General features: G+C 47.0%; 1 long non-coding RNA gene across 1 annotated transcript in view, besides 6 other annotated features; it reads right to left on the bottom strand.

Annotated features, from left to right (window-relative positions):
- LINC01399 (long intergenic non-protein coding RNA 1399) overlaps nucleotides 1-27,902 on the bottom strand; it is a 111,233-nt gene that overhangs the window by 22,606 nt on the left and 60,725 nt on the right. The window lies entirely within an intron of this gene.
- Nucleotides 6,265-6,314: an enhancer, noted in NCBI's record as "active region_18894". NCBI's record gives its function as "activates an Ori minimal core promoter by ATAC-STARR-seq in GM12878 lymphoblastoid cells {active_cell/tissue: GM12878}" and the evidence as "EXISTENCE:reporter gene assay evidence [ECO:0000049][PMID:35858748]".
- Nucleotides 12,205-12,728: an enhancer, noted in NCBI's record as "NANOG hESC enhancer chr22:35550627-35551150 (GRCh37/hg19 assembly coordinates)". NCBI's record gives its function as "activates a minimal SCP1, AML or CMV promoter by ChIP-STARR-seq in naive H9 embryonic stem cells {active_cell/tissue: H9 hESC(naive)}" and the evidence as "EXISTENCE:reporter gene assay evidence [ECO:0000049][PMID:30033119]".
- Nucleotides 12,205-12,741: a biological region, named in NCBI's record as "Sharpr-MPRA regulatory region 1139".
- Nucleotides 12,447-12,741: a silencer, noted in NCBI's record as "tiled region #1139; HepG2 Repressive DNase unmatched - State 12:CtcfO, and K562 Repressive DNase unmatched - State 12:CtcfO". NCBI's record gives its function as "represses a minimal TATA promoter and a strong SV40 promoter by Sharpr-MPRA in HepG2 and K562 cells {active_cell/tissue: HepG2 | K562}" and the evidence as "EXISTENCE:reporter gene assay evidence [ECO:0000049][PMID:27701403]".
- Nucleotides 12,714-12,913: an enhancer, noted in NCBI's record as "active region_18895". NCBI's record gives its function as "activates an Ori minimal core promoter by ATAC-STARR-seq in GM12878 lymphoblastoid cells {active_cell/tissue: GM12878}" and the evidence as "EXISTENCE:reporter gene assay evidence [ECO:0000049][PMID:35858748]".
- Nucleotides 15,803-16,634: an enhancer, noted in NCBI's record as "H3K27ac hESC enhancer chr22:35554225-35555056 (GRCh37/hg19 assembly coordinates)". NCBI's record gives its function as "activates a minimal SCP1, AML or CMV promoter by ChIP-STARR-seq in primed H9 embryonic stem cells {active_cell/tissue: H9 hESC(primed)}" and the evidence as "EXISTENCE:reporter gene assay evidence [ECO:0000049][PMID:30033119]".

Here is a 27,902-nt window from a genome sequence, read left to right on the forward strand (position 1 = left end):
CAGAGCATGATCTAGAAGGGAAGAGGGCACAGCTCCAGCTGTCCATGTTCCCTGAGAGAAGGGACATAGCTGGAGGAGAGCAAATAAGACCTTTTAAAACACAGGACTCCCCTTTCCCAGGCCTAAGTCACTACCAGACAGAGCAACTGTGCCTTAAATGCAGGTCCCAAGAACCAGCCTTCTGTCATTACCTGGACCCATGCAAAAGAGGATCTCCTCCTTCTCATGCTTTCTAGAAGAGTTCCCATCTCTCAACATCCCCACCACCAAAGCAGACTCTAGGGCCTTCTACACATGGCTGATTGGGTGACAGGATGGAAGACTGCTCACTTAGCTGCAGAGGAAAGAAATGGGACCTGAACCTGTCCTCCCACATGGCTCACCAGAAAAGTCCTACATTTAGGATGGAAGTTGGGGGCTCATTTGTCAGGTATTTGCCTAGCCATTGAAATTTCTATACATTTCCCATCTGGCTATTATTTCACTACAGGGCCTACCACAGGAGGAAGACATTTAAATTAGTCAATTGCAGTACCAAAACTCCAGCCCTGACTATCCTATCTAAAACGTTTGTGCGAGACTGAACTCCTGTTAGAAAGACATGGTAGAATTTGTTAGCACTCCTCTGTATTTTATGCGGGAATCCCCCTATATTTTCCAGTCTTCCTTGTAGCTGGCTGGCCATGTGATTGATTCAGGGCAATGCAATGGAGTGGGAAGTATGTAAGTCATCTCCAAGGCAAGGTGGTAAGGTACCTGGCGTGCCTTCGCCTCATGCACACAATTGGAAGAGAAGGACTCCAAGATGGTTTAGTGATGGGTGAAAGGGGCTTGGATCCCTGAGTCACCACTTGGAGGAGGGAAGCCTAAGAGAGCTGCCCAACCCTCACCAACTTGTTACACGAGCAAGAAATTAACTTTTACTTTGTTAAACCACTGAACTTGATGATTGTTACCACAGCTAATGAGTGTTACTCTATGTAATATGGAAGCTGTCGGATTAGTCAAGGTGAGACTTGGCAATGTTAAGGCAATAGCAGGATGGGGTGGATATGAGAAATATGAGGGAGAGGTGCTCAGCAGTGAGGGAGAGGGCAAACCATGTTCCTGCATGAGTCTAATCCAAGGTGGACGATGACAAGAGCCAAACAGGAGGTCCAAACGTGGGGCTGTGGGCTGTAAGGAAGACAAGCAGATGACACAGAGAGATCACAGAGGCGATCGGTGGAAGAGAAACAAGAAAATTAAGAACATTTCTCAGTCTGATAACTCCCCAGCTACAATGCGCTGGTCGCTTCTTCCAGAGTGGTGCGCCCTGCTGGGACATGGACAAGTAGCCATTCCTGCATCCCCCAGGAAAGGGCTCCTCTTTTCCATGGACACACACAGAGTCAGCTAGCCTGGTTAAATCAAGGAGCAGATGCCCTTGGGGTCTAGCCCCAGGTCTGTCCATCCTGGATATGAGTCATGGGCCGGTCAGCCCCCTTCTCTGGGCCTCAGTTTCTCCTATGTAAAAGGAGGAGGTGGGTTTGATCTAATTACCTAATAATGGCTGACGGTGAAGGGAACTAAGCAGAAACAAAGGTGAGGGGATTTATGGCTCTTCTAACAGAATCATGACGATGAAGGCAGGGGTGAAGGGACATCCCCTCAAGAGAGGCCAACTCAGGAGCTGAAACACATCTTTGTGTCTCCGCCATCACCTTCATCTTCTCCCACTGCAGATGAGCTTTCTCTGTGTGAAGAGCATGTGGGCCCAGGATGCTCCAGGTCCCCTAACACAACTGTCTGAGGAAGAAGGATTCAGACAGGTCCAGGCTAGATCTCATGCCCCCGCTGTGGAGGGGGTGGGGGGGTGTTACCAGGAGAAACAGTCACAGAACAGATGTGGGCTACTGTGGGATCTCTGTGGATCCCCAGATTCATGTCTGCTGTCCTCCCCAGATGCCTCCTGCCCTGACCCTAGGTGATGCGACCTTCTCAGCCCAGCAGACTCTTCCGCCTGCACTCACCTGGTGGTTACTCCTGGACAGTGCCTGGCAAAAGTGCCAGGACACTTTGGGTTACTCCTGGACAGTGCCAGCTCCTCTGAGAGGTGATCTCCCCTTCCAAGGAGGCGGGGATGATTTTCTCACCAGTTTGCAGGTGGAGCCATCAGGCCTGAGGAGGTTAAATAGCTCAGCTGTGAGAGGTCACCAGGAAAATTGGAGGAACCTGGGTACACGCACGCCTTCTCTAATGGCAGTTTGTTCAGGGCTTGGCCCGCTGTACTAGTTCAATGGGCTTTAGGAGGCCTTTTGCCTTCTTGGAACTTCCTGAGGAAAATGACATCCAGTTGGCATGATGCTCAAACAGGCAGATGAGTGGTGTGAGCCATGAAGACCCTCACACCCATCTCAGCTCCACCTGCCCTTCCCAGGCACCCACCTGGCAGAAGGGAAGACGGAGGAGGAAGAACACACTGACCTCAAGCTCCTGCTGGGTGCCACATTCCTACACCCTTCATCTCACACTTTAAATGTGTTTAAGGTGGCATTAAATTACACCAATAATACAACAGCCTTCTAATAAAAAAGGTAAAACATTATGGGTAAGTCCATAAGTCACTTAGATCACTGTAACCTCCCCTGAACTCTCCTCCAGGAACCACTGTGACCATTTAGCCAACATCATCCTGTCTTTTCTCATGCATTTACTTTCAAACATATATGTTAAATTTTTCTGGGGTTCATAACATAAATAGTATCAATTGTACCAATTTTGCATGCAGACCATAATGCAAACATGTTTTTCCTTTTTTTTTTTTTTTTTTTTTTTTGAGATGCAGTCTTGCTCTGTCGCCCAGGCTGGAGTGTAGTGTCATGATCTCAGCTCACTGCAACCTCCGCCTCCCGGGTTCAAGCAATTCTCCCGCCTCAGCCTCCCGAGTAGCTGGGATTATAGGCACACACCACCAAACCCGGCTAATTTTTGTAGAGATGGGGTTTCACCATGTTGGCCAGGCTGCTCTCGAACTCCTGACCTCAGGTGATCTGCCTGCCTTGGCCTCCCAAAGTGCTGGGATTACAGGCATGAGCCACTGCGCCCACCCTGGACATGTTTTATGTAAGTGGCAGCCGAAGCTTCAGCAGGCTACTTGACCTCTGTGTGTCTCAGTATCCTCTCCTAGAAAGTGGGGATAATAATAGCACCCTACTCCTGGGGTTGTTGTGAGACCCACACAATCAGGGGCATTGCCTGGCATGCACACACACACACACACGTATGCATGTACACATAGCAATAAAAGGGCTATGTAAGCATCAGCCATTCAGGTTGCTTTTCTGTCATTAGTATTGTGCAAATATGTTTCTTCACTCACTTAGATGTCTTAGAAATCTTTCCAGGTTAGTACTATAGGTTTGCCTCAGTCTTTTTACCTACTGTATACTGCTCCATAGCATTGATTTCTATCCTTTATTTAGCCATTCCCCTTTTGATAGACATTTAGGTTATTTCCAAATTTTAACTTGTGTGAATAATGCTGCATTAAACATCCTGGAATGGACATGCCATTATTTCATTAAATACAACAACTTGTGAGGCAGGTTATTATGTGCCAGCTTTTGAAGAAGGGAAATTGAAGTGGGCACAGTCAAGGGGCTGAGCCAGGATTCAGCCCAAGCTGGTGTGGAGCTCATGCTTTTTCCCCTACACCAGGCTGCTGCCCCTGCCCTACCAACAGCCCCCACCTCTGAGCACCCCTTAAGTCACAACAAATGCCCTTTCTTCCACGTCACTTAAGTATGAATAGATCCTTGTCCTAAAAACATTGTGGGGCTCCTTACCCATCCCCTGGCTACTGAGGTCCTCTTTTCAAAGAAAGAAAAGGGAGAGGCAGGTTTTGGAAAACGCAAAATCATTTGAAAACCACACTGAATTGTGTGTTTCCAACTCAGCATCCCCCACTCTCTCCCCAGTTAGGAACCTACAAATCACATTTTCCAGCATCTCTTTGCCCATGTGGTTCTGGGTTTGAGTCTGTCACTGAGGGGAACTGGCACAAGATTTGAAAGGCGGAAGTGAAGGAGAAGCCATCATTCTCAAAGAGTAGCTGCTTGGGAACTGCTGGTTTTGCTGCTTCCAACCAAAGCACTTGGAAGGAGCTTCTAGAGATCCTCAAGCGTTGCAGCAACTTCCTGCAGGCTTGTGAGAACCACCAGCTTCAATACTTCAGGCCCAGGTTCCTGGCCGTGTCAATGTCCCTGGATTTTGGCAGCAGCTCCTCTAACCTCTGACACCCCGGATCTTCCAGCCATTCTGTCAGCCCCCGTTTCCCGCAGTCCCATAAGCCCCTATAACCTTCATGCCTGGAACGCAGAGAGGTTCCTGTTTTTCTAACCAAACTCTGACTGATATAAAAGTTAATGCCAAAAAAGAACATTGACTTTTGACTAGACTATTGATTTATGAAAAGTGTTGAAACTTTAGAAAGAGGTTTCTTTATGTTCTATTATTCCCCAGAAGGGCCATGATCCAGAAATGAGCTGAATTCATAACGCGTGTCAAAAAGGGAGCTGAGCTTTGGGGACAAACTTGCAAGTGACCGTGACTGGCAGGCGAATGGTGACCCAGACTGGGCCCCCCCAACCAGAACTGTCTCTGGACCATTTTGTCTTTGGAATCCCATTTTAGGAAAATTGAGGGATGCACAACATAGCTCTTCTTCAGAGGGTGCAGGAGAAGCAGGGAGAGGGATGAAGGCAGGGAAGGAAGACAAGACCCACTCTGACCACACAGCTGACCTCCACCCAGACTGCCCCCAGCTCTCATGCTGGATTGGCCTAGGAAGCCCTAACAATAGGCTATGTCTCCCGCCAGCAGCTTGGCCTCCCAGGAATGACTCACTCCACCCCTATTAGGTGTGGCAGGCTGGAAAATGGCCCCCAGAAGATACCAAATCCCTGGAACTTGTAGATGCACCTTATTTGAAAATAGGGGTTGTGCAAATGTTATTAAGTAGAGGATCTTGAGAAGAGGAGATTATCCTGGATTATCCTGGTGGGCCCCAAATCTAAAGATTTCAGACAGACACACAGAAGAGAAGACAATATGAAGATGGAGGCAGAGATTGAAATGTTGCGGCCACTTAGCCCAGAAGCATCAAAGTCGCCAGCAGCCACCAGAAACTAGGAGAGAGGCACAGAATGCTGTCTCCCCAGAGCCTCCGGAGGGAGCACAACCCTGCCGGCACCTTGATTTCAGACTCTGGCCTCCAAAGCTATGAGAAAATAAATTTCTGTTGTTTTAATCCACCAAGTTTTGAGTGGCATAGGAAGCTAATACAGGAGTATATACTGGAGGGACTTGAAGACCCTCTGGTCAATAATCTTTTGTTTGTTTGTTTGTTTTTGAGACAGAGTTTCGCTCTTTCACCCAGGCTGGAGTGAAGTGGCACAAACTCGGCTCACTGCAGCCTCCCCACCGTGCCCCATGGGTTCAAGCGATTCTCCTGCCTGAGCCTGGAGAATTGCCTGGGTTATTTTTGTATTTTTAGTAGAGTCAGGTTTTACCATGTTGGCCAGGCTGGTCTCGAACTCCTGATCTCAGATGATCCACCCGCCTTGGCCTCCCAAAATGCTAGGATTACAGGCGTGAGCCACCGCACCCAGCCTGGTCAATAATCTTTAAACCCTGCTCCTCAGAGGGCTTTTGGGGGCATCTTCAGGCAGGATTACGTAGGACAAGTAGGTCAGACTCCAGGCCAGCCATCCCTCATGGAGCAGAGCAGCTCCCCCGCAATCTCCTCTACATATTGGGCAGTGAAGTAAGATTAAGTAAGAACAAGTGATGGGGAACTGCGGGGAAGCAATTGTGGAGGGGCTGCAGGTGAGTTTTCAAGCCAAATATCCAACTGGTCCCTTCAGTTTTCCGTTTTCTCAGACAGACGGAGTGACTTGCCGCTGGTCATACAAGTTAGTAACAGAGCAGCAATCAGAACCTGGGTCTCCAGTCTACACTGCAGCACACAAGCCCACACTGAACAATTGCACAGCGCCAAGGACTGGGATTGGAAGGGACTGCAGGAGGATACTTTATCTGTCTCCTGCCCTCTGATTAGATGGTGGGAAGGTTTTAACTTAGGTAACTTTGCTGAAAAGGAGCTGCAGCATCTGCTGACCAGCTGTCGTGGCTTCTCCTAAGCAAGGTCTCTTCCCTTGGCTGGCTGTGCAGGCAGTTGATCAGCTTCTCTCAAAGGTCTGTGAACAGGAAGCCTGGAAACCCAGGTGACCCAGGTCATTGACATGCAGGAATCAGCTTGCTTCTTGGATTGGGCTCACTAGAAACTGACCCTGAGATGGAGATGTGAATGCAGGCAGAGCTGATAGCACTGGCCCCACTGCAGGAAGCCAGACCTGCTGGGGCAAGCCAGGGGCTTCCCACCCAGTCGCTGGCACAAACCCAGGACCCCAGTTCAGAAGCAGCAGAGTGGTACAAGCAGCCCTGTCCTGAATGTCTAGAGTCCTGGGTTGGAGGGGACTCGGTGGGTGCAGTGGGTGTCCTGGGGCTTGTCACTTGTCAGCTCTGGGCACCCCCCCATTTGTGGAACAGAGGGGCTCTGCCCCCTGCTCCCTAACCCCCTTCCAGCTGGCATTCTGCAAGGGGGCTGCCAAGCTACCACATCTGGCCATAATCTCCAGCTGTCATAGAGGAATAAAAATAGCAGCATGACAGACGATGACAGCTTTGGATGTTTCCCCTGCCTTTTTTGTGCATGTCAATTTCTTTTCTCCCAAGTTAGGGAAAGATTCCTTGATACAATCAGGATTATCTCATAATGCTTAATGAAGGGCCTCCTGGCGCCTCGGCCACAGATTACTCTAAGCTCTTGCTAACCCACTGAAAGGATGATAGAAATTGGCACAGGTACAAACCACCCGCTCCTTGTGCAGGGCCGTCAGAGCAGGGCATGCGAGGACTTCAGCAGATCCAGTAGGCCTACTGCTATGGCCTTGTGTGGTGAGGCAGATGTTCAAAAAGAGGATGGAGCTGAGTCTCTGCTGCTTACTCACGTATCCAGTGAGACAGGCACTGTCACAAAGAACACCGGGGGTCCCATCCCAGTTCGGTCTCATTCCAGAACTGACTGTGTGCTGGGGAATAAGCAACTCCTCTAAGCAGGGCCTCCTCTGGAAAATGAGGGAGTAAGTTTTCTTCTGCAGGTCAGTGTTGTTTGACTGGCTGCCTGAAGGTCATGCTGAGAAGGGTTTGGAGGCTACACGGGACTCTTCAGAGAATGGCTGTGCTCCACTGGGGATGTCTGCTATGGCCAAGACTGGGACGGTGGCCATATACATGCCACTAGACCTCTCTGGACTATATGAACTCTAAGGCTCATCCCAACTCTGGTATCTTATTAAATCTTATAGATATTCATCCTATGATCAAAACAGCCATAATATTCTCCTTACTGTGGCTTCTTGCCAAGTCCTTCAAATCATCTTTTTCTATCAAAGGTGGTGAATGTATGTAGTGGACACTCTTGTGTGCTACCCAGCTCTCTCCTTTAGGATTGGGGTTCTCTCTTCTTTCCCCCAGCTGCCAGGATTGGGGATGGCTCATGACCCCTTTCCTGGAATTGCACTGGGTTGAAGGGAGTGGCTTTGTCTTAGGTCATGCCTGCCCCCTTCCCCAAGGGGATATCTGTATCCAGTGACTGGTCTATTTAGGAACACAATGTGGGACAACTTTCTCCCAAGTTTCGACAGTTAAAGTCTGTCCCAACTCTATAGCAACTAGAAACTCCACACTGCACAATTTCACAGCACCAAGGACTAGGGCTGGAAGGGACTGCAGGAGGTTATGTCATCTGTCCCCTGCCCTCTGATTCGATGGTGGGAAGGTGGTAACTTACGTAACAGGCGAGAAGGAACAGTGGCATGTATTGACCAGCTGTCGTGGCTTCCCATAAGCAAAGTCTCTTCCCTTGGTAGAACTGAGCTTCTGTTTATTACATCATTAATTGCATCGCGGCTCATCTTTTCCCTTTCCCCAGTCCTGTATCTTTCACTCTCTTATAAATGCTGACAAGTGACAAGCCTCAGGACACCCGCTGCACCCACGGAGTCCCCTCCAACCCAGGACTCTAGACATTCAGGACAGGGCTGCTTGTACCACTCTGCTGCCTCTGAACTGGGGTCCTGGATTTGTGCCAGTGACCGGGTGGGAAGCCCCTGGCTTGCCCCAGCAGGTCTGGCTTCCTGCAGTGGGGCCAGAAATATGAGCTCTGGCTCCCCCTGGTGGCAAGACCAGAAACGAGCTCAGCGTGACTGTCCAGTGTCAAAGATGTGGGAGGAAGCAGCGGAGAAACCAAAGGAGGAGGAAGACGCCACCATCACTGTCCCCAGCCATGCAGCCTAAAAGTCACTATCCCTTCCTCTCTTAGAGTCTTTTGGTTCAGTTTCCGCCCCCATCATAGTAACAGAAGGGGCCTTGGGCCCAGTTGCAGCTAAATTTTGTCCCCGTGAAAGTTCGTATGTTGAAGCCCTAAATCCCAGTACCTCGGAATGCGACTGTATTTGAAGATAGCGCCTTCAAAGGGGTAGTTAAGGTAGAGTGAGGTAATGACAGTGCGCACTAACCAACGTGCCTGGTATCCTTATTAGAAGAGGAGATTAGAACACAGACACGCACAGGAGGGAGACCACATGGGGACCCGGGGAGAAGACAGCCTTCTACAGCCAAGAGAGGTCTCAGAAGAAAGCTGCCCTGATGATCTTCCAGAACTGTGAGAAGTGAATTTCTATTCTTTAAGCCGCCTAGTGTGCGGTACTCTGTTTTGGCCGCCCCAGCTGATTCATCGACCCCTAGTCCTTTCCCTTCCTGGCCTCCTGGCCCGCTTCTCCCCTCCCTCTCCCCTGCCTCACTCCCTCTTTCTCTCCATATCTGAAGATACCTCCTTTGCTCATTTATTCTCCAGATATTTACTGAGCCCAACGATGGACTCATTCTTAGAGACAGAGAAATGAATAAGAACTTTTATTCACCAGTAAATATTTACTGAGCACCTAGTAAGTACCAGGCTCTGCTGTAGGCACTGGGTTATGATGACACAAGGCAGGCATGATCCTCAAGGTGCAGTCGGCATGGGTGGGGTTGGGGGGACTGACATGCACGTGTCCAGCCTGTCTTCCACTGAGCACTGGGTGCAAACCCCATACGGAATAAGGCAGAACCCAACTCCCACAGAGTGGGGAAAAAAAGAACCCAGGAAGCCAGTAAATAGAGGTGAAGTTTGTGCTAAGCTTTGAAGGATGAGGAGGAGTTCTCTCTCTCCCTCTTGTTCTCCATAAAAGTCTATCACTAAGCAATGCTCAGTGAATATATGTTGACCACATGAGCAGAGAAATAGGATTAGTGACACGGCTCTGATGAGTGGAGGAACACCAGGGCTCTTCGTCTCGAGTCAAATTAGATAAAATGACATGGACACACACGGAGTGGTTTTTCTTTTTTTTTTCTTTTCTGAGATGGAGTCTCGCTGTGTTGCCCAGGCTGGAGTGCAGTGGCATGATCTCAGCTCGCTGCAAGCTCCGCCTCCTGGGTTCATGCCATTCTCCCGCCTCAGCCTCCCGAGTAGCTGGGACTATAGGTGCGCCCACCACCACGCCTGGCTAATCTTTTTCTATTTTCAGTAGAGACGGAGTTTCACCATGTTAACCAGGGTGGTCTCGATCTCCTGACCTCGTGATCCGCCTGCCTCAGCCTCCCAAAGTGCTGGGATTACAGGTGTGAGCCACCACGCCCGGCCTACACATGGAGTGGTTTCAAGGAGCAGAGAGTTTGATAGGCAAGAAAGAAAGGAGGAGCCAGAAGGAAGCAGCTCCCCTGTACAGAGATGGGGGGGCTCCAAAGCCGAGAAAGGAGACCCCAAGTGCAGCAGAAATCAGCCGGGTATATGAAGAGGCTGGAGAAGATGGTGTCTGATTTGCATAGGCCTCAGGGGAGTGGTTTGACCAGGCGTGTCATTCATGTAGCCCACGAAAAAACTGGCCCTCCCACCCTGCCCTTTTAATATGCAAATGCAGAACGCCATGATGTTCTACACACATGGGGATATATGGGGGCGGCCATGTTGCCAGGCACATGTAGGGGCAAGGGCAAGAGGACAACAGTGGGAATCGCCATGTTGGGTGGACCCACTTTCTAATGGCCTGCATTTGCATATCAAAGGTTGCCGGTGGGCTCTAAGAGCTGGGGCTTTCCTGCTAGACAAGAAATGTTTCTGGAGCTGCTTTAAGAGAGGAAAACTTTCCAAGGACCCCTTTTCCTATCTGCCTAAAATAATTTCTTAATAACTCCTACCACATTAGGATGCACGTCTAGTTGATGAAGGGAGGGGAGACACAGGTGAGGGACAGGCAGGCAGCTGCAGGAAGAAGAAAAAGAGACTTGCCCCAGAGGTGTGAGTACTCCCCAAGCTGACATCTGTTCTGATCTGAAAGTTAATTATGATATTTGGACGTTTTATTTTTGATCCTACTTAATAATTACAACAGAACCCAAAGTGTGAGATAACACTGAATCATTAAATGGGATTTAATTATTCTCCCAACTCTCAGGAATTAAGGGACTTCGGAGGAAATGCATGTTTTCACATAACAAAGCACGTGTTCCCCTCCTAATTCCTCCAATCTCTCAAGGCAGAAGGCAAAGGGCCAAGATGGCAGCACATGTAGCACAGTGGCTACAGGTATCCTATCTGTGCAAAGGGTCTAGGTGTTCCACTGGGTTTGGAGTATTCCCAGCAGTCAGGGTGGTAGATGTGTTCATTCAGCCATTCATTCACTCAACAGAAATTCATGGAGTGCCTACTGCTATGTGCCAGGCATTGCTCGTTCTAGGCCTTAGGGAGACAAGGTGGGCAAGGCAGACAAAATCCCCCCTCAAATGCTGATTACACTCTAGTCGTGGAGACTAGACTAATAAACAAGTGGAATATTGGACAATGAGAAGTGCTATGCAGAGGATTTCAATAAGGTGTTGTGTCGAGAGGGGCTGGCTAGATGGCCACTTCAGACCACATGGCCCAAGACAGGCTCATTTGGGAGGTGACAGGTAAATGGAGGTCTGAATGAAAAGAAAGAGCCAGCGCTCCTAAAGCAAGCTCAGGGGCAGCAAATGCAATGATCCTAAGGTGGGAATGAGGGACAGAGAGTAAGAGGGGGTGGGATGAGTGAGGGGTAAGCAGGACCCCCTGCATAGGAGCAGGCAGCAGAAGAGCCTTGCAGCTCAGATAAGGAATTGGGTTTAATTTTAAGGGAAAAGGGAAACTGCTGGAGAGTTTTAAGGGGTGGGTGGAGTCATACACTGATTTTTTACTTTAAAATATCACTCTGGGCCGGGCGCGGTGGCTTACACCTGTGATCTCAGCACTTTGGGAGGCCGAAGCGGGCAAATCACGAGGTCAAGAGATCGAGACCATCCTGGCCAACATGGTGAAACCCCGTCTCTACTAAAAATACAAAAATTAGCTGGGCATGGTGACACGTGCCTGTAGTCCCAGCTACTCAGGAGGCTGAGGCAGGAGAATCGCTTGAACCCGGGAGGCAGAGGTTGCAGTGAGCCAAGATCCCACCACTGCACTCCAGCCTGGCAACAGAATGAGACTCCACCTCAAAAAAAAAAAAAAAAAATTACTCTGGCTACAGTGTCGAGAGTGGGACAGAAGCTGGAGCTGGGAAAACAGAGAGGAGACCTCTGCAGCTGAGACGATGTTGGTGTCAACAGCTATCTACCCTGCTGCAAAAAATTACCCTTTATCTCCTCGTAATGGCCAAATCCCCAGTCGCCCCTCATTTTTTACAGTACTCTGCAGCTTAGAAGGTGCTTTTGCTTTATATGACATTTGATTTTGATGCTTATAATAAACCGGAGAGACAGACACTATCATCCCCGTCTCAAGGGCTCAGAGAGATTGAGTGACCTGTCCCAAGAAATGCAGCCAGTGAGTGGCAGAGCCAGAGACTGGAAGAATATCAGTCCCTGATCTGAGAGACAGCTAAAAAATAAAAAAAGCTTTGGGAGACAGTGTGATGTCTAGACCTGCACTGCCCAGTAGCAAGTTTTTCTGGACAAAAGGAGAGAACTTTTACAGCCTCAGATCTTTGTGCCTACACTTTTTAAAGAAGTCCGCAGTACAAACTAGACACTGAATCTAACAAGGTGCTCCATGCTCAGGACATTTCTGGAGCCAAGGTGCAGAGGCAGAATGGACACAGGCTTTGTAGTCAAAGATCCTCAGAGAGGATTCCAAGTCAGTCACCTCCCACCTGGACCCTCTGTCTCCTCAACAACAAGGTAAGTTAACCTGGCTTTGAGGATGTCTACAGGGCCTGAGGCACCTTCTTTGAATCTTCTCTGTTGGGGACATCTTTATCCTTAAGATTACTTTGAATTTTTTTTAAACATTCCAGAGCCACTGGGAGTAAGGGAATACATGGGTGCGGACAGAGGGGATGCTATTTGAAATCCAAAACATTTGTGCCATTTGCAACTCAAAGCCTGGCTGGCTGAGCCGCTCCTGGCTCCTCGCGCCTCTTCTTCGCAGGCATCCCACTGCTCCAGCCATTTGGTCCTCGGCCCAGGCAATACCCCCACCTAGTGGCTACTTTCTCCTCTCTCTCCAGGACTGGCGAAGAGTCAGGTTGACAATGAGACTTCTTATCGGGCAAACAAATCACCTGGCGGTCTTGTTAAAAAGCCGATGGGGATGGGGCCTGAGATTCTGCATTTCCAAGGAGCTCCCAGCAAATCCTGCTACTGTATATCCTCAGACCCCACTTTGAGGGGTGAGGAAAATGGAATTTCTGAGCTGTGCTGACCAGTTGCCAATTTACAAGGGCTCATCTACGCTGCTTTTGTGTGGTCAGTGGTTCCAGTGTGCCCAGCTTCCCCTTGATCTAACCCAAAGAAATAGAGTCAGAATGGGTAAAACATGAGGAAAAGCTTTCAGTATTACCAAAAAATTGCATATAGGAACAGTATCTGCACAAGCTACTAGACACAGGGCCAGGTACTCAGGATGCAAAGGACAAGGTGCTCCAGGTGGTTGGTGGTCGTGGAGAACCGTGAAAGTTGATTCCTGCACACGCTTAAGAACAGCGACTATTTCCAGAAAACCCAGTAGGAGGCAGTAGAGGGATGGTGGGGCAGAACAACTCTGGGGTCAGCATTCAAAGACAAAAATTCTCATCCTGGTTGTGCCATTACTGGGTTGCATGACCTCAAGTAAATGAATCCTCCTCTCTGGTCCTCAATTGTTAATAAATAAATAAATAAACAGGGAGGAGGGGTTGGGGTGCTGGCTGACATCATCTCCAAGGCATTTTCCAGTAATAAGATTTCAAAATTCTCAAGAGGCAGGCTGCGGACATAGTGGTTAGGCACACAGACAGCTGGACTGCCTGGGTTTGCAGCTGGTCTCTACCACTCGCTAGCTCTGTGACCTTGGCCAAGTTACTTAACCTCTCTGTGCCTCAGTTTCCTGATCTGTTAAAAAGAAGAAGAGTCCCTACTTTATAAGGCTCTTAGAAAGACTACGTGAATTGATGTGTAAAATATGTAAAACACTACCTGGTCCTCCTAAGTATATAACGTGAGGTGCTCTTAAGTCCTTATCAGTCCTTTAAAAACCTCATTAAGCCATGCCGACTGAGAGGAATTCTAAAATGGTGACATGACGATTCTAGATTTTGGAATACTTTGAAAGCGAGGTAGTTTTAAAGTGCCCAGCATACATCCTTTCCTTGTCCCATTTTTCTGGCAACAGAGCGGCTTTTCAGGAAAATCCCATCCATCCATGCCAGCCTGAACAATACCCTACACACACACACACACACACACACACACACACACACACACACACTGGCAACAGAGCGGCTTTTCAGGAAAATCCCATCCATCCATGCCAGCCTGAACAATACCCTACACACACACACACACACACACACACACACACACACACACACACACACTCTCTCTCTCTCTCTCTTACTTTTCAAGGAATAGCCGTGTGACCAAGTTTTGGCCAATCAGAGCTCTCCGTACCCCAGGTTCAGTGATTGGTTCAGGAGTGGGCACATGACCCAGCCCAGGCCAATCAAAGGAATCTCTGGGGCTTTTGCTAAAAACACTAGAAAACGGAGATATTCTTTTCTCTTTTCTCTGGGATCAGTAACTATGCAAAACATATCATTGTGGAGCTACCTGGTCATCCTAGCTGCTACAGGAAGAGTGCCTGCCTGAGAATGGGATCAATACAGAAGAAAGATTAGCCAAAGGGTGGAAAGAGACGGAGTTCCGAGGGCATGATTTGACTTCCTGGATCCAGGCACACCAGACTCCAGACACCCAAACTTCTGAGTTATACAGCCCAGTCATTTCTTTTTTATTTATTGAGCTGGGTTTCTCTCACCTGAAACTTGACTAAAGAGTCCTAAGGTAGGTATTATGGAATGTCTGATCCAAACAAGGTTACACAGATGGCAGAACTTTATTGAACCTAGTGTATGCAGCTTTAAAGGCCATGCTTTCTACATTAATCCACATTGCCTTCTGTGAACCACCCACTCCCCTCCCTCAGGAGGAATTACTTGAAAACAATGACGTTGGATGTTGATTGGTGGTCCACAAAGGGTGGTTCCTGGTTCTGCAACAGCAGCATTGCCTGGAAACTTGTTAGAAGTGCAAATACCAGGCCCCAGCCCAGATCTACGGGGTCAGAAGCACTGAGGGTGGGGCCCATAAGTCTTTTTAACAAGCACTTCAGGGCATTCTGATGTACACTCAAGAATGAGCACCTCTGCCAGAAATGAACAAATCAACTTCATTTTGGTTTAATTATTTTCTGGGCACCGTTTGCCAGAGCTGGGGGAGTAGAGATAAGCCAGATGAGGCTCTTGACCTCAAGGACTCCGAGTCTGGTGGTGATAGCCAGATCAGCACTCCACATCCAGCCAGCCATCTCTTAGTTGGGGGCATTTGCAACTAGCATCCATGTTTTCCTGGCAATGCCAAACTTTCAAACTTCCAGCCATTCATACTCATATCCTCTGCCTCCACTTTCTCATCTGAAAGGCTCCTCCTCATGCTTCAATACCCAGCTTCAATATCCCCCTCCCTGAGGCCTCCCAGCAGAATTAATTGCCCCTCACCTGAGAAGGGTCCTGCAGCAGGGCCTTCCATCCTTGCTCAGGACGTAATCACATTGCAATCACATTGCATTAGCAGTGCTTGTTGGAAAAGTAGTGTCTCCAACCCAGCTGTAAGTAATTTGAAGGTGAGCACTCTGTTCCCTTCATCTTCTATCCAGAGCCCAGCACAGGGCCTGGCACACAGTAGAAGCTAATAAATGCTTGATGAATGAATTAATACTTAAAGGCAGCTCTGAAGGATAGCAAAGGCTCACGTGCACAGCCTGAGAGAGTACAGAGTTGACCTGAGTGGGGACCCAGATCCAGCAGCATCAGCACCCACACACCCAGGAGCCTGTCAGCAAGGCACAGTTCAGGACCCACCCCAGACTTACTGAATCAGAGGCTGCTTTCACACAAGATGGCCAAGGGACCTCTTTGCATTTTAAAGTTTGAGAAATTCTGCCAAGGGCAAACTTACCCTTCTGCATTCATAATTGAAGGGATTATAAACAAAGTTGATGTCATCCACACAGAACACCTATAGAGGCTCTGTCAGTTGAAGCCATTTTCTTCTCCCCTTGGGAGAGCTCCCAACTTGACATGTTCTGGAAAACTGAGGGGCCCAGGGAGAGCCCTTTATTTTCTCTTACCCAGGACATAGCTGGTGGGTAGCATTCTGAGAAGACGGCAGACAGCACTTCCTCCCTCAGCCAAACCCTTGGCATTGCAAAGGCTTCCAAGAAAGATACAGAGAGTTTAGTTCTGGTCGAAAAGTCCCCACTTATCTAAGAATGCAATCAATAATGGCAAGGGGAAATCAATGGGGCCAGGAGATCTATCTCTCTGTGTATTTATGGAGCGTGGATCCCTGGTTGGCAGGAGGCTTCGGCAGACCAGATGGAGCCTGTGCCTGCTTCCCGGAGATCCTGATTCCCTTTCCAAGAATTATGGAGTGTCCTTTGTCTCTGCTCGATAACACCCTGGAGTTACAGAGCCATTTAGAAATGAATTGGCTCATTTTTCTCCCTTCCCCTTGCTTATAGTGACAGGTCACCCGGGCCAAAGAGTTATTAAAGGGACAGATAGGACACTTTGCACATTCCGTCTGGCTCCACCAGCCTTCCTGTCAGCGGCAGGCCCCAAAGCTCTAACTCCTTGTCAAAGAAATAACATTCGAGGAAAAAAAAAACAACAGGTAAAAAACTTGAGGCAAGGGTATTTTATTTTATTCCAAGTACTTTTTCCATTTTTTTCCATAGAATTTCCAATTATCTCTCACCTCTAAATATGCCATTGCTAAAAGTCTCATGAGCAAACTGAATGCATGGTTTATTTTTCCCAAAGTTAGCAAAACCATCTCCTAAAATTAAATTTACCTCCAGAGGAGGATTTAGACAAGTCACTTAACCTCTCTGGTCTGTTTCCCCATCTATGAGGATGACAATCCCAGCTGCTAAAGTCACTTCAAGGAAAGTGCTTCATACGGTGCGTGAAGCCTAGGAGATACTCAATAGTTATTCATTCATATTTATCTACAAAGTATTATTATTAGAATATTAATTGCTATTTCCTGAGCTCTTACATATCTCAGGCTCTGTATGAAGTTGTCAGAACTTTTCACAGGCAGTGGCTTGAGCAGAGGTTGAAGCTTTGGCCCTGCCATTTACTAGCTGGGGATGGGGTGTTGGGCCATCATGGGAAAATCAACATCCCTCTAGGCTTGGACCCAGGGCGCCTGCAAGGTGGGGGTGGAGATCCTGCATGAAGCCGCACTGAGATGAGGGTGCCTAATGTAGCCTCAGCTCCACTCTGTGCAGCAACAATTCTATGAAGCCCTCCAGAGGGATCTGAGCTCCTCCTGGAAGCCTCTGCTAAGGATTCTGAGGTGATGTTGTGTATCTCAGTCCCTGGGGATGGAGCTTTTGGGGTAGTTGGTAATACTAATAAATTCAGAGCTATATTTAGTTCCGGTCTTTAATGTTCTCTACAGCTCTCTACAGCTCACATGACTGTCTCCCTGTCCATGGCTGTGTTACGGCTCACTAGAAGGCAGCTTTTCCAAACTTATCAAATGGGTCATGTCCAGCTCATCTCTGTAAGAATGGAAAGCCTCCTGAGAATGTGCTCTATGACCTTCCACTCACCCCTAGATTAGGATATGTGGGATGCCCATAAGCCCCCAAATCCAAAATACTCTACTCTTGCAGAGTAAAAACCAAACAAACAAACAAACAAACAAAAAAAAACACCAGCTGGGCGCAGTGGCTCACACCTGTAATCCCAGCACTTTGGGAGGCTGAGGCAGGTGGGTCACGAGGTCAGGAGTTCGAGAGCAGCCTGGCCAATATGGTGAAACCCCGTCTCTACTAAGGATACAAAAATTAGCTGGGCGTGGTGGTGCACACCTGTAGTCCCAGCTACTCGGGAGGCTGAAGCAGGAGAATCACTTTCCCCCGGGAGGTGGAGGTTGGAGTGAGCCGAGATTGCGTCATTGCACTCCAGCCTGGGCGACAGGGCGAGACTGTCTCAAAAAAAAAAAACCTATATTCTGTAGCAGACTGGCTAACCGATTCTGTAACAGAACAATTCTTCCTCCTTCCAAGTATCCATATCCTTTGCCAGGTAACTGCCCCACACCCTTGACTCTGGGCTCTGTGACGGGGCTTTGTCCAGAAGCATGAGAACGCACCTGCTCATTTTGTTCTCACGCTTCCATTTGCTGTCATGAGAAGGACATGCCTGAGACAGCCCGCCATTCATGACAGCATAGATTTTTCTATTTATTACAACCACTTCCTGGCAGATGGCAACAAAGTTTCTAATTTTCTCAAAGGTGGGTTAGCAGATGTCCTAATACCATTCTTCCCCACATCCCAGTATTGACTTCACTTCCTGTGTATTTCTCAAAGCAGTCCCCCTTCTCTGCTTGCATGGTTTGTCTTTTTAATCCCTGTCTAGCAGCAAGGTTTGTGCTTTCTTTTTTTCTTTTTCTTTTTTTGAGATGGAATCTCACTCTATCGCCCAGGCTGGAGTGCAATGGCGCAATCTCGGCTCACTACAACCTCCGCTTCCCAGGTTCAAGTGATTCTCCTGCCTCAGCCTACTGAGTAGCTGGGATTACAGGCATGTGCCACCATGCTTGGCTGTTTTTTGTATTTTTAGTTGAGACAGGGTTTCGCCAAGTTGACCAGGCTGGTCTCGAACTCCTGACCTCAAGTGATCCGCCTGCCTCAGTCTCCCAAAGTGCTGGGATTACAGGTGTGAAAAACTGCACCCAGTGCTTTGTGCTTTATAAATATGTTCTGAATGAATGAAGGAAGCATCAGCAATAGAGACATTAGCAGAAAATAGTAAGATAAGAATATGAGAAAATATTAAATATGTTTTTGTTGTTGTTTTAGAAAGTGTCTGACTCTGTCACCCAGGCTGGAGTGCAGTGGCACGATCTTGGTTCACTGCAACCTCCACCTCCCAGGTTCAAGCGATTCTCATGCCTCACCCTCCCAAATAGCCGGGATTACAAGCACGTGCCACCACACCAGGGTAATTTTTTGTTTTTGTTTTTGAGACGGAGTTTCGCTCTGTTGCCCAGGCTGGAGTGCAGTGGCGCGATCTCAGCTCACTGCAACCTCCGCCTCCCGGGTTCAAGCGATTTTCCTGCCTCAGTCTCCCGAGTAGCTAGGACTACAGGCGCGTGCCACCACGCCCAGCTAATTTTTTATATTTTTAGTAGACATAGGGTTTCACCATGTTGGCCAGGCTGGTCTCAAATTCCTGACCTCAAGTGATCCGCCCACCTTGCCCTCCCAAAGTGCTAGGATTACAGGCATGAGCCACCACACCTGGCCTAAATATGTTTTTAAATTTGGGACTGCCTGTCCATGAGAAAGGTAGGGAGAAGAGAATTCACCTGGCACCCCAAGGCAGTAGCAAGGGGAGAGGAGAGAGAACTAGAAAGAAGACTTACACCTTTGGATAAGGAGCTGCAAGTGGGAGAGTTAAGGGGAGCCTCCAGGGGAAGTGCTGCAAAGAGAATTCTTTGCTGTGCAGGGGCCTGCACGAGGGCCTTGGATCGGGGTCCTGTGGGGCGAGGGTGGGCTGGGTGGAAAGGTGGGTAAGCAGGCCTGACCCTGAGGCCAGGGCAGGTAAAGTATGGTTGCTGCTCCTCTGCCTGCATTGCCAGAGAGCTGCATGGTTAAGATGCAACATTCAGCACCGTCAGGAAGCTGGGCTCCAAAGACTCCCAGAGCCCTTTCCTTCCCCTACACCTTCTACTCCCACAGGGGTAAAGAGCAGGCCATTCTGCCTCCTAAGCCTCCATGGATGGGGGACTAAGTGGAGTTGCCTAGGCCTTCCCTTTTCTGAAACAAGAGCATCATAAAGTTTCTACAGCCATCCCTGTCCCTGACTGCCCATAGCGCTCGTCCTGGGCCATCTCCAGTCCCATTCTGTGCCCACGTTGTGCCCAGCTCCTGACTCTCCCAGGTCCAGGGAGGACAGTGCTGTCTCCATTTCTGCTTTGGTGGAGCTGTAACCACAACATGCCATGCTGCTAAGAACATGTTTCTATGGGGCTGTTTCCACGTGTGCCATCTCCTTAGTCTACTGCCTTCTCCAGGATATAACTCTCTATTTCCTCAGTCCTCACTTTGTGAAGTATGGCTTCATCACCAAGCATCTGTGAGATCCCACATGACTCCTCTGCCTTCTCTGGCCTTTTTTCCCCCACACTGAAATTACCGGATCTGGACCGGGTGATGGACAATGTCCAGGATCTGTTGATCTGTTTCCCTTCCAAGAGCTGTGAGTCCATTAAAAAGATTCCTACAGCCCAGAATTTTCAAAGGGGGTGGGAGAAGGAAGGAAAGATTCTCCTTTCTCTGCTGAACCACTAAAGGATCATTAAGCACTCAAAAGTCTAAGGCAACACAAAAATGCTTAATAATTGCCAGGGATTATTTATGAGGAATGGAAGAGAGGAAAGAAATGGGGAAATGAATGATCTCAAGCTGGCAAAGTGGTTTTGCTCCCAGAGGACCAAGAAAGATGCTTAAAATTCAACTCCTTTTGAAGACAAAATGAAGGATTCAGCGAGCCAGGGGTTGCAGGTCAGGGGCTAACTCTACGGAGAAGGATGTGGGCCATTACCAGAGGAAACTGGCAGGGTTGGGAGTTAACCTGAATGACACCAGCTCCCTGCCCCTATTTGAAAAGAAGCTTTGAACAAAAAGAACAGGTTTGCCACAAGTATTACAGAACCAGGATTAATATTATTATATTCAAATATATCATACAAATAGGTAAGAAGAAAAAAACATTAACCCCAGTAGATAAATGAGCGAAGAACATAAACAGACTGTTCATAAAGGAAAAAATAAGTCACTTTTCTCTTAATAAACAAAATACTGCAAACCCTCATTAACAAAGACATGTACCTAAAAATGACAATTAGACACAAATTTTTACCCATAACATAAACAGAGTTGTTTTCTCTTAAGGAGTGTTCATTAGAACATGTCAAAAGCTGAGATAATATTGTCTTAGTTTCCTTGGGCTGCAATAGCAAAATACCATCAACTAGGTGGTTTGTAAATAACAGAAATTTATTTGTTACGGTTCTAGAGGCTGGAAGTCCAAGATCAAGGTACTAGACGATTCAGTAATGCTGAGGACCCATTTCCCCAGAGACGGTGACTTCTCACTGTGTCCTCACACAGTGGAAAAGGCAAGAGGCCTCCCTCGTGTTTCTTTTATAAGGGCACCAATCTTTTTACAAGAGTCCCACCCTCATGACCTAGGGGTCATGAGGCCCCACCTCCTAATACCACCACCTTGAGGGTTATGATTTCAACATATAAATTTTGGGAGGACACAAATATTCAGACCACAGCAGATTCACTTGCTGATAAGCAGGTAAATGTGTCCAATTTTCTTTGAAATATGTAACAATAGTCATAAAAAGTTCATATCCTTTGGCCCTATAATTTCATCCCTAGAAATTTAACCCAAGAAAATAATTAAAGATATGAACACAGTACCTATACAGGAATAGTCATCACAGGATTAATTACAGTAGAGAAATATTGGAAGCAACCCGGTTGTCAAACAAGGAAATGGCTAAGTGAAGGTATGTTAACATAATGAAATACATGCAGGCGTTAGAAGTCATGTTTTCAAAAAACACTTCAATGGCATGAAGAATTTCTTCTAATATGATGTTGACTGAAAATACAAGCCGGGAAAACTGAATATGTCATAATATCCGTAGGCAAAAACGTGTACTTTTGGAATATATAAGCATGGGCATAGAAAAGAAGGTAGAAGAGTCTGGGCGCGGTGGCTCACGTCTGTAATCCCAGCACTTTGGGAGGCCGAGGAGGGCGGATCACAAGGTCTGGAAATCGAGACCATCCTGGCTGGTGGAAACTCCGTCTCCATTAAAAATACAAAAAATTAGCCAGCTGTGGTGGCAGACACCTGTAGTCCCAGCTACTCGGGAGGCTGAGGGAGGAGAATCACTTGAACCCAGGAGGCGGAGGTTGCAGTGAGCCGAGATCGTGCCACTGCACTCAAGCCTGGTGACAGAGCGAGACTCCATATCAAAAAAAAAAAAAAAAGTGGAAGGAAATACATCAAAATGCTAACAGTCATCAGGACTCGGGAAAACAGAGCAGAAAAACAACCAGAAAAAAGTCTCATGGTGGCCAACATCCACCAGGAAAACAAAGAAACAGGGAAGCCTATTCAGAATAGAGAGGAAGACCACCCTTGGGAGGAGGAAAAGACCGCCTCCTACAGGAAAGACCTCCAGCCTACAGGAAAGAATAAACAGAAACAGGCTCGCCAACTTGCCCCTAATTTTCTTTGTTTCTTTTAAGTTCTGAGATACATATGCAGAACGTGCAGCTTTGTTACATAGGTATACATGTGCCATGGTGGTTTGCTGCACCTTTCAACCCGTCATCTAGGTTTTGTTGTTGTTGTCGTTGTTGTTTTGTTTGTTTGAGATGGAGTCTCGCTCTGTCGCCCAGGCTGGAGTACAGTGGCACGATCTCAGCTCACTGCAAGCTCCGCCTGCCGTGTTCACGCCATTCTCCTGCCTCAGCCTCCCGAGTAGCTGGGACTACCGGCACTCGCCACCACGCCCGGCTAATTTTGTTTTTGTATTTTTAGTAGAGACGGGGTTTCACTGTGTTAGCCAGAATGGTCTCGATCTCCTGACCTCGTCATCCACCCGCCTCAGACTCCCAAAGTGCTGGGATTACAGGCATGAGCCACCACGCCTGGCCCATCTAGGTTTTAAGCCACGCATGCATTAGGTATTTCTCCTAATGATATCCCTCCCCTTTCCCTCCACGTCTCTGACAGGCCCCAGTATGTGATGTTCCCCTCCCTGTGTCGATGTGTTCTCATTGCTCCACTCCCACTTATGGGTGAGAACATGCAGTGGTTGGTTTTCTGTTCCCGTGTTAGTTTGCTGAGAATGATGGTGTCCAGCTTCATCCACGTCCCTGCAAAGGACATGAACTCATTCTTTTTTATTGGCCCCTAATTTTCAATGGGCCATACCCAATAGGCAGGTCAATGATGGGATGAATAGAGGTGGAGATGATATGGAAATGTTCATGGAGGAGATGAGAGGAATCAGGAGAGAATAAGGAGCTACAATTGAGGAATTGTCTGTGTATCCTTATGGGAAGCTGTGTAATCCCCATGACCATCATGATGAATTTTGCCAATGCCTGGACTCCTGCCATTTTCCATGAGGTTAATATTGTGATTCCCATTGTTTTCTTTTTCCTTGCATTTTCCTAATATGTCTTTACTCATTTGCTGTGAACCTTATGTTATTTCCATGTGTCAGGTGAGTCTTGTGCTTCCAGCTTCTAGCTTGATGTTTGCAGATGATCGATAAATGTCAATAAATAAAGCCTTTGTACCCAGTCTGTTTCTGTCATCAGTAGAACTTTGCTCATTTGCATGGAAAAAATGTAAAGTTAATAGAGCAATTAAAAAGCAGTCTATACATTTATTATTGTCTCATTTTTAAGAATGTATACTTATGGAGGGCAGTTCCAAGATGGCCAAATAGGAACAGCTCCAGTCTACAGCTCCCAGCGTGAGCAACGCAGAAGATGGGTGAGTTCTGCATTTCCAACTGAGGCACTAGGTTCATCTCACTGGGGCTTGTCAGACAGCGAGTACAGGACAGTGGGTGCAGCCCACCAAGCGTGAGCCAAAGCAGGGTGAGGCGTCACCTCACCCAGGAAGCAAAAGGGGTCAGGGAATTCCCTTTCCTAGCCAAGGGAAGCTGTGACAGACGGCACCTGGAAAATCGGGTCACTCCCACCCTAATACTGTGCTTTTCCAATGGTCCTAGCAAACGGCACACCAGGAGATTATATCCCACGCATGGCTCAGAGGGTCCCACACCCACAGAGCCTCACTCATTGCTAGCACAGCAGTCTGATATCGAACTGCAAGGCGGCAGCAAGGCTGGGGAGGGGCGCCTGCCATTGCTGAGGCTTGAGTAGGTAAACAAAGTGCCGGGGAAGCTCGAACTGGGTGGAGCCCACCGTAGCTCAAGGAGGCCTGCCTGCCTCTGCAGACTTCACCTCTGGGGGCAGGGCATAGCCGAACAAAAGGCAGCAGAAACCTCTGCAGTCTTAAATGTCCCTGTCTGACAAATTTGAAGAGAGTAGTCGTTCTCCCAGCACAGAGTCTGAGATCTGAGAACAGACAGACTGCCTCCCAAGTGGGTCCCTGACCCTCGAGTAGCCTAACTAGGAGGCACCCCCCAGTAGGGGCAGACTGACACCTCACATGGCCGGGTACCCCTCTGAGACGAAGCTTCCAGAGGAATGATCAGGCAGCAACACTTGCTGTTCAGCAATATTCGCTGTTCTGCGGCCTCCGCTGCTGATACCCAGGCAAACAGTGTCTGGAGTGGACCTCCAGGAAACTCCAACAGACCTGCAGCTGAGGGTCCTGACTGTTAGAAGGAAAACTAACGAACAGAAAGGACATCCACACCAAAACCCCAATTGTACGTCACCATCATCAAAGACCAAAGGTAGACAAAACCACAAAGATGGGGAAAAAAACAGAGCAGAATAGCTGAAAATTCTAAAAATCAGAGCGCCTCTCCCCCTCCAAAGGAACGCAGCTCCTCACCAGCAATGGAACAAAGCTGGACGGAGAATGACTTTGTTGAGTTGAGAGAAGAAGGCTTCAGACGATCAAACTTCTCCAAGCTAAAGGCGGAAGTTCGAACCCATCGCAAAGAAGCTAAAAACCTTGAAAAAAGATTAGACAAATGGCTAACTAGAATAACCAGTGTAAAGAACTCCTTAAATGACCTGATGGAGCTGAAAACCATGGCAGGAGAACTATAAGACGAATGCACTAGCTTCAGTAGCCAATTCAATCAACTGAAGAAAGGGTATCAGCGGTGGAAGATCAAATGAATGAAATGAAGTGAGAAGAGAAGTTTAGAGAAAAAAGAGTAAAAAGAAATGAACAAAGCCTCCAAGAAATATGGGACTATGTGAAAAGGCCAAATCTACGTCTGATTGGTGCACCTGAAAGTGACGGGGAGAATGGAACCAAGTTGGAAAACACTCTGCAGGATATTATCCAGGAGAACTTCCCCAACCTAGCAAGGCAGGCCAACATTAAAATTCAGGAAATACAGAGAATGCCACAAAGATATTCCTTGAGAAGAGCAACTCCAAGACACATAATTGTCAGATTCACCAAAGTTGAAATGAAGGAAAAAATGTTAAGGGCAGCCAGAGAGAAAGGTCGGGTTACCCACAAAGGGAAGCCCATCAGACTAACAGTGGATCTCTCAGCAGAAACTCTACAAGCCAGAAGAGAGTGGGGGCCAATATTCAACATTCTTAAAGAAAATAATTTTCAACCCAGAATTTCATATCCAGCCAAATTAAGCTTCATAAGTGAAGGAGAAATAAAATCCTTTAAAGACAAGCAAATGCTGAGAGATTTTGTCACTACCAGGCCTGCCTACAAGAGCTCCTGGAGGAAGCACTAAACATGGAAAGGAACAACTGGTACCAGCCACTGCAAAAACATGCCAAATTGTAAAGACCATCGAGGCTAGGAAGAAATTGCATCAACTAATGAGCAAAATAACCAACTAACATCATAATGACAGGATCAAATTCACACATAACAATATTAACCTTAAATGTAAATGGGCTAAATGCTCCAATTAAAAGACACAGACTGGAAAATTGGATAAAGTGTCAAGGCCCATCAGTATGCTGTATTCAGGAGACCCATTTCAAGTGCAGAGACACACATAGGTTCAAAATAAAGGGATGGAGGAAGATCTACCAAGCAAATGGAAAACAAAAAAAGGTAGGGGTTGCAATCCTAGTCTCTGATAAAACAGACTTTAAACCATCAAAGATCAGAAGAGACAAAGAAGGTCATTACATAATGGTAAAGGGATCAATTTAACAAGAAGAACTAACTATCCTAAATATATATGCACCCAATACAGGAGCACCCAGATTCATAAAGCAAGTCCTTAGAGACCTACAAAGAGACTTAAGACTCCCACGCAATAATAATGGGAGACTTTAACACCCCACTGTCAACATTAGACAGATCAATGAGACAGAAAGTTAACAAGGATGTCCAGGAATTGAACTCAGCTCTGCACCAAGCGGACCTAATAGACATCTACAGAACTCTCCACCCCAAATTAACAGAACATACATTCTTCTCAGCACCACATCGCACTTATTCCAATATTGACCACATAGTTGGAAGTAAAGCACTTCTCAGCAAATGTAAAAGAACAGAAATTATAACAAACTGTCTCTCAGACCACAGTGCAATCAAACTAGAACTCAGGATTAAGAAACTCACTCAAAACTGCTCAACTCATGGAAACTGAACAACCTGCTCCTAAATGACTACTGGGTACATAACGAAATGAAGGCAGAAATAAAGATGTTCTTTGAAACCAATGAGAACAAAGACACAACATACCAGAATCTCTGGGATACATTTAAAGCAGTGTATAGAGGGAAATTTATAGCACTAAATGCCCACAAGAGAAAGAAGGAAAGATCTAAAATTGACACCGTAACATCACAATTAAAAGAACTAGAGAAGCAAGAGCAAACACAGTCAAAAGCTAGCAGAAGGCAAGAAATAACTAAGATCAAAGCAGAACTGAAGGAGATAGACACACAAAAAACCCTTCAAAAAATCAATGAATCCAGGAGCTGGTTTTTTGAAAAGATCAACAAAATTGATAGACTGCTAGCAAGACTAATAAAGAAGAAAAGAGAGAAGAATCAAATAGACGCAATAAAAAATGATAAAGGGGATATCACCACCAATCCCACAGAAGTCCAAACTACCATCAGAGAATACTACAAACACCTCTACACAAATAAACTAGAAAATCTAGAAGAAATGGATAAATTCCTTGACACATACACCCTCCCAAGACTAAACCAGAAAGAAGTTGAATCTCTGAATAGACCAATAACAGGCTTTGAAATTGAGGCAATAATTAATAGCCTACCAACCAAAAAAAGTCCAGGACCAGACGGATTCACAGCCAAATTCTACCAGAGGTACAGGAGGAGCTGGTACCATTCCTTCTGAAACTATTCCAATCAATAGAAAAAGAGGGAATCCTCCCTAACTCATTTTATGAGGCCAGCATCATCCTGATACCAAAGCCTGGCAGAGACCCAACAAAAAAAGAGAATTTTAGACCAATATCCCTGATGAACATCAATGCAAAAATCCTTAATAAAATACGCAAACTGAATCCAGCAGCACAAAAAGCTTATCCACCATGATCAAGTGGGCTTCATCCCTGGGACGCAAGGCTGGTTCAACATACGCAAATCAATAAATGTAATCCAGCATATAAACAGAACCAAAGACAAAAACCACATGATTATCTCAATAGATGCAGAAAAGGCCTTTGACAAAATTCAACAGCCCTTCATGCTAAAAACTCTCAATAAATTAGGTATTGATGGGATGTATCTCAAAATAATAAGAGCTATTTATGACAGACCCACAGCCAATATCATACTGAATGGGCAAAAACTGGAAGCATTCCCTTTGAAAACTGGCATAAGACAGGGATGCCCTCTCTCACCACTCCTATTCAACATAGCGTTGGAAGTTCTGGCCAGGGCAATCAGGCAGGAGAAAGAAATAAAGGGTATTCAATTGGGAAAAGAGGAAGTCAAATTGTCCCTGTTTGCAGATGACATGATTTTATATTTAGAAAACCCCATCGTCTCAGCCCAAAATCTTCTTAAGCTGATAAGCAACTTCAGCAAAGTCTCAGGATACAAAATCAATGTGCAAAAATCACAAGCATTCTTATACACCAATAACAGACAAACAGAGGGAAATTTGAGACCAGCCTGGCCAACATGGCAAAACCCTGTCTCTACTAAAAATACAAAAACTACCGGGGCATGGTGGCACACACCTGTAATTCCAGCTACTTGGGAAGCTGAGGCAGGAGAATCACTTGAACCCAGGAGGCGGAGGTTGCAGTGAGCCAAGATCATGCCACTGCACTCCAGCCTGAGCAACAGAGCAAGACTCCATGTCAAAAAAAAAAAAAAAAAAGCCTTCAGATGAAAGTTGAGATCCTACAGGAACAATTAGGCTGAGATAATATTTCCTTTTAAATTATATAATATAAGCCTTCTG

This window comes from Homo sapiens, chromosome 22 (genome assembly GCF_000001405.40).
Source record: "Homo sapiens chromosome 22, GRCh38.p14 Primary Assembly".
NCBI classification, from domain to species: domain Eukaryota; kingdom Metazoa; phylum Chordata; class Mammalia; order Primates; family Hominidae; genus Homo; species Homo sapiens.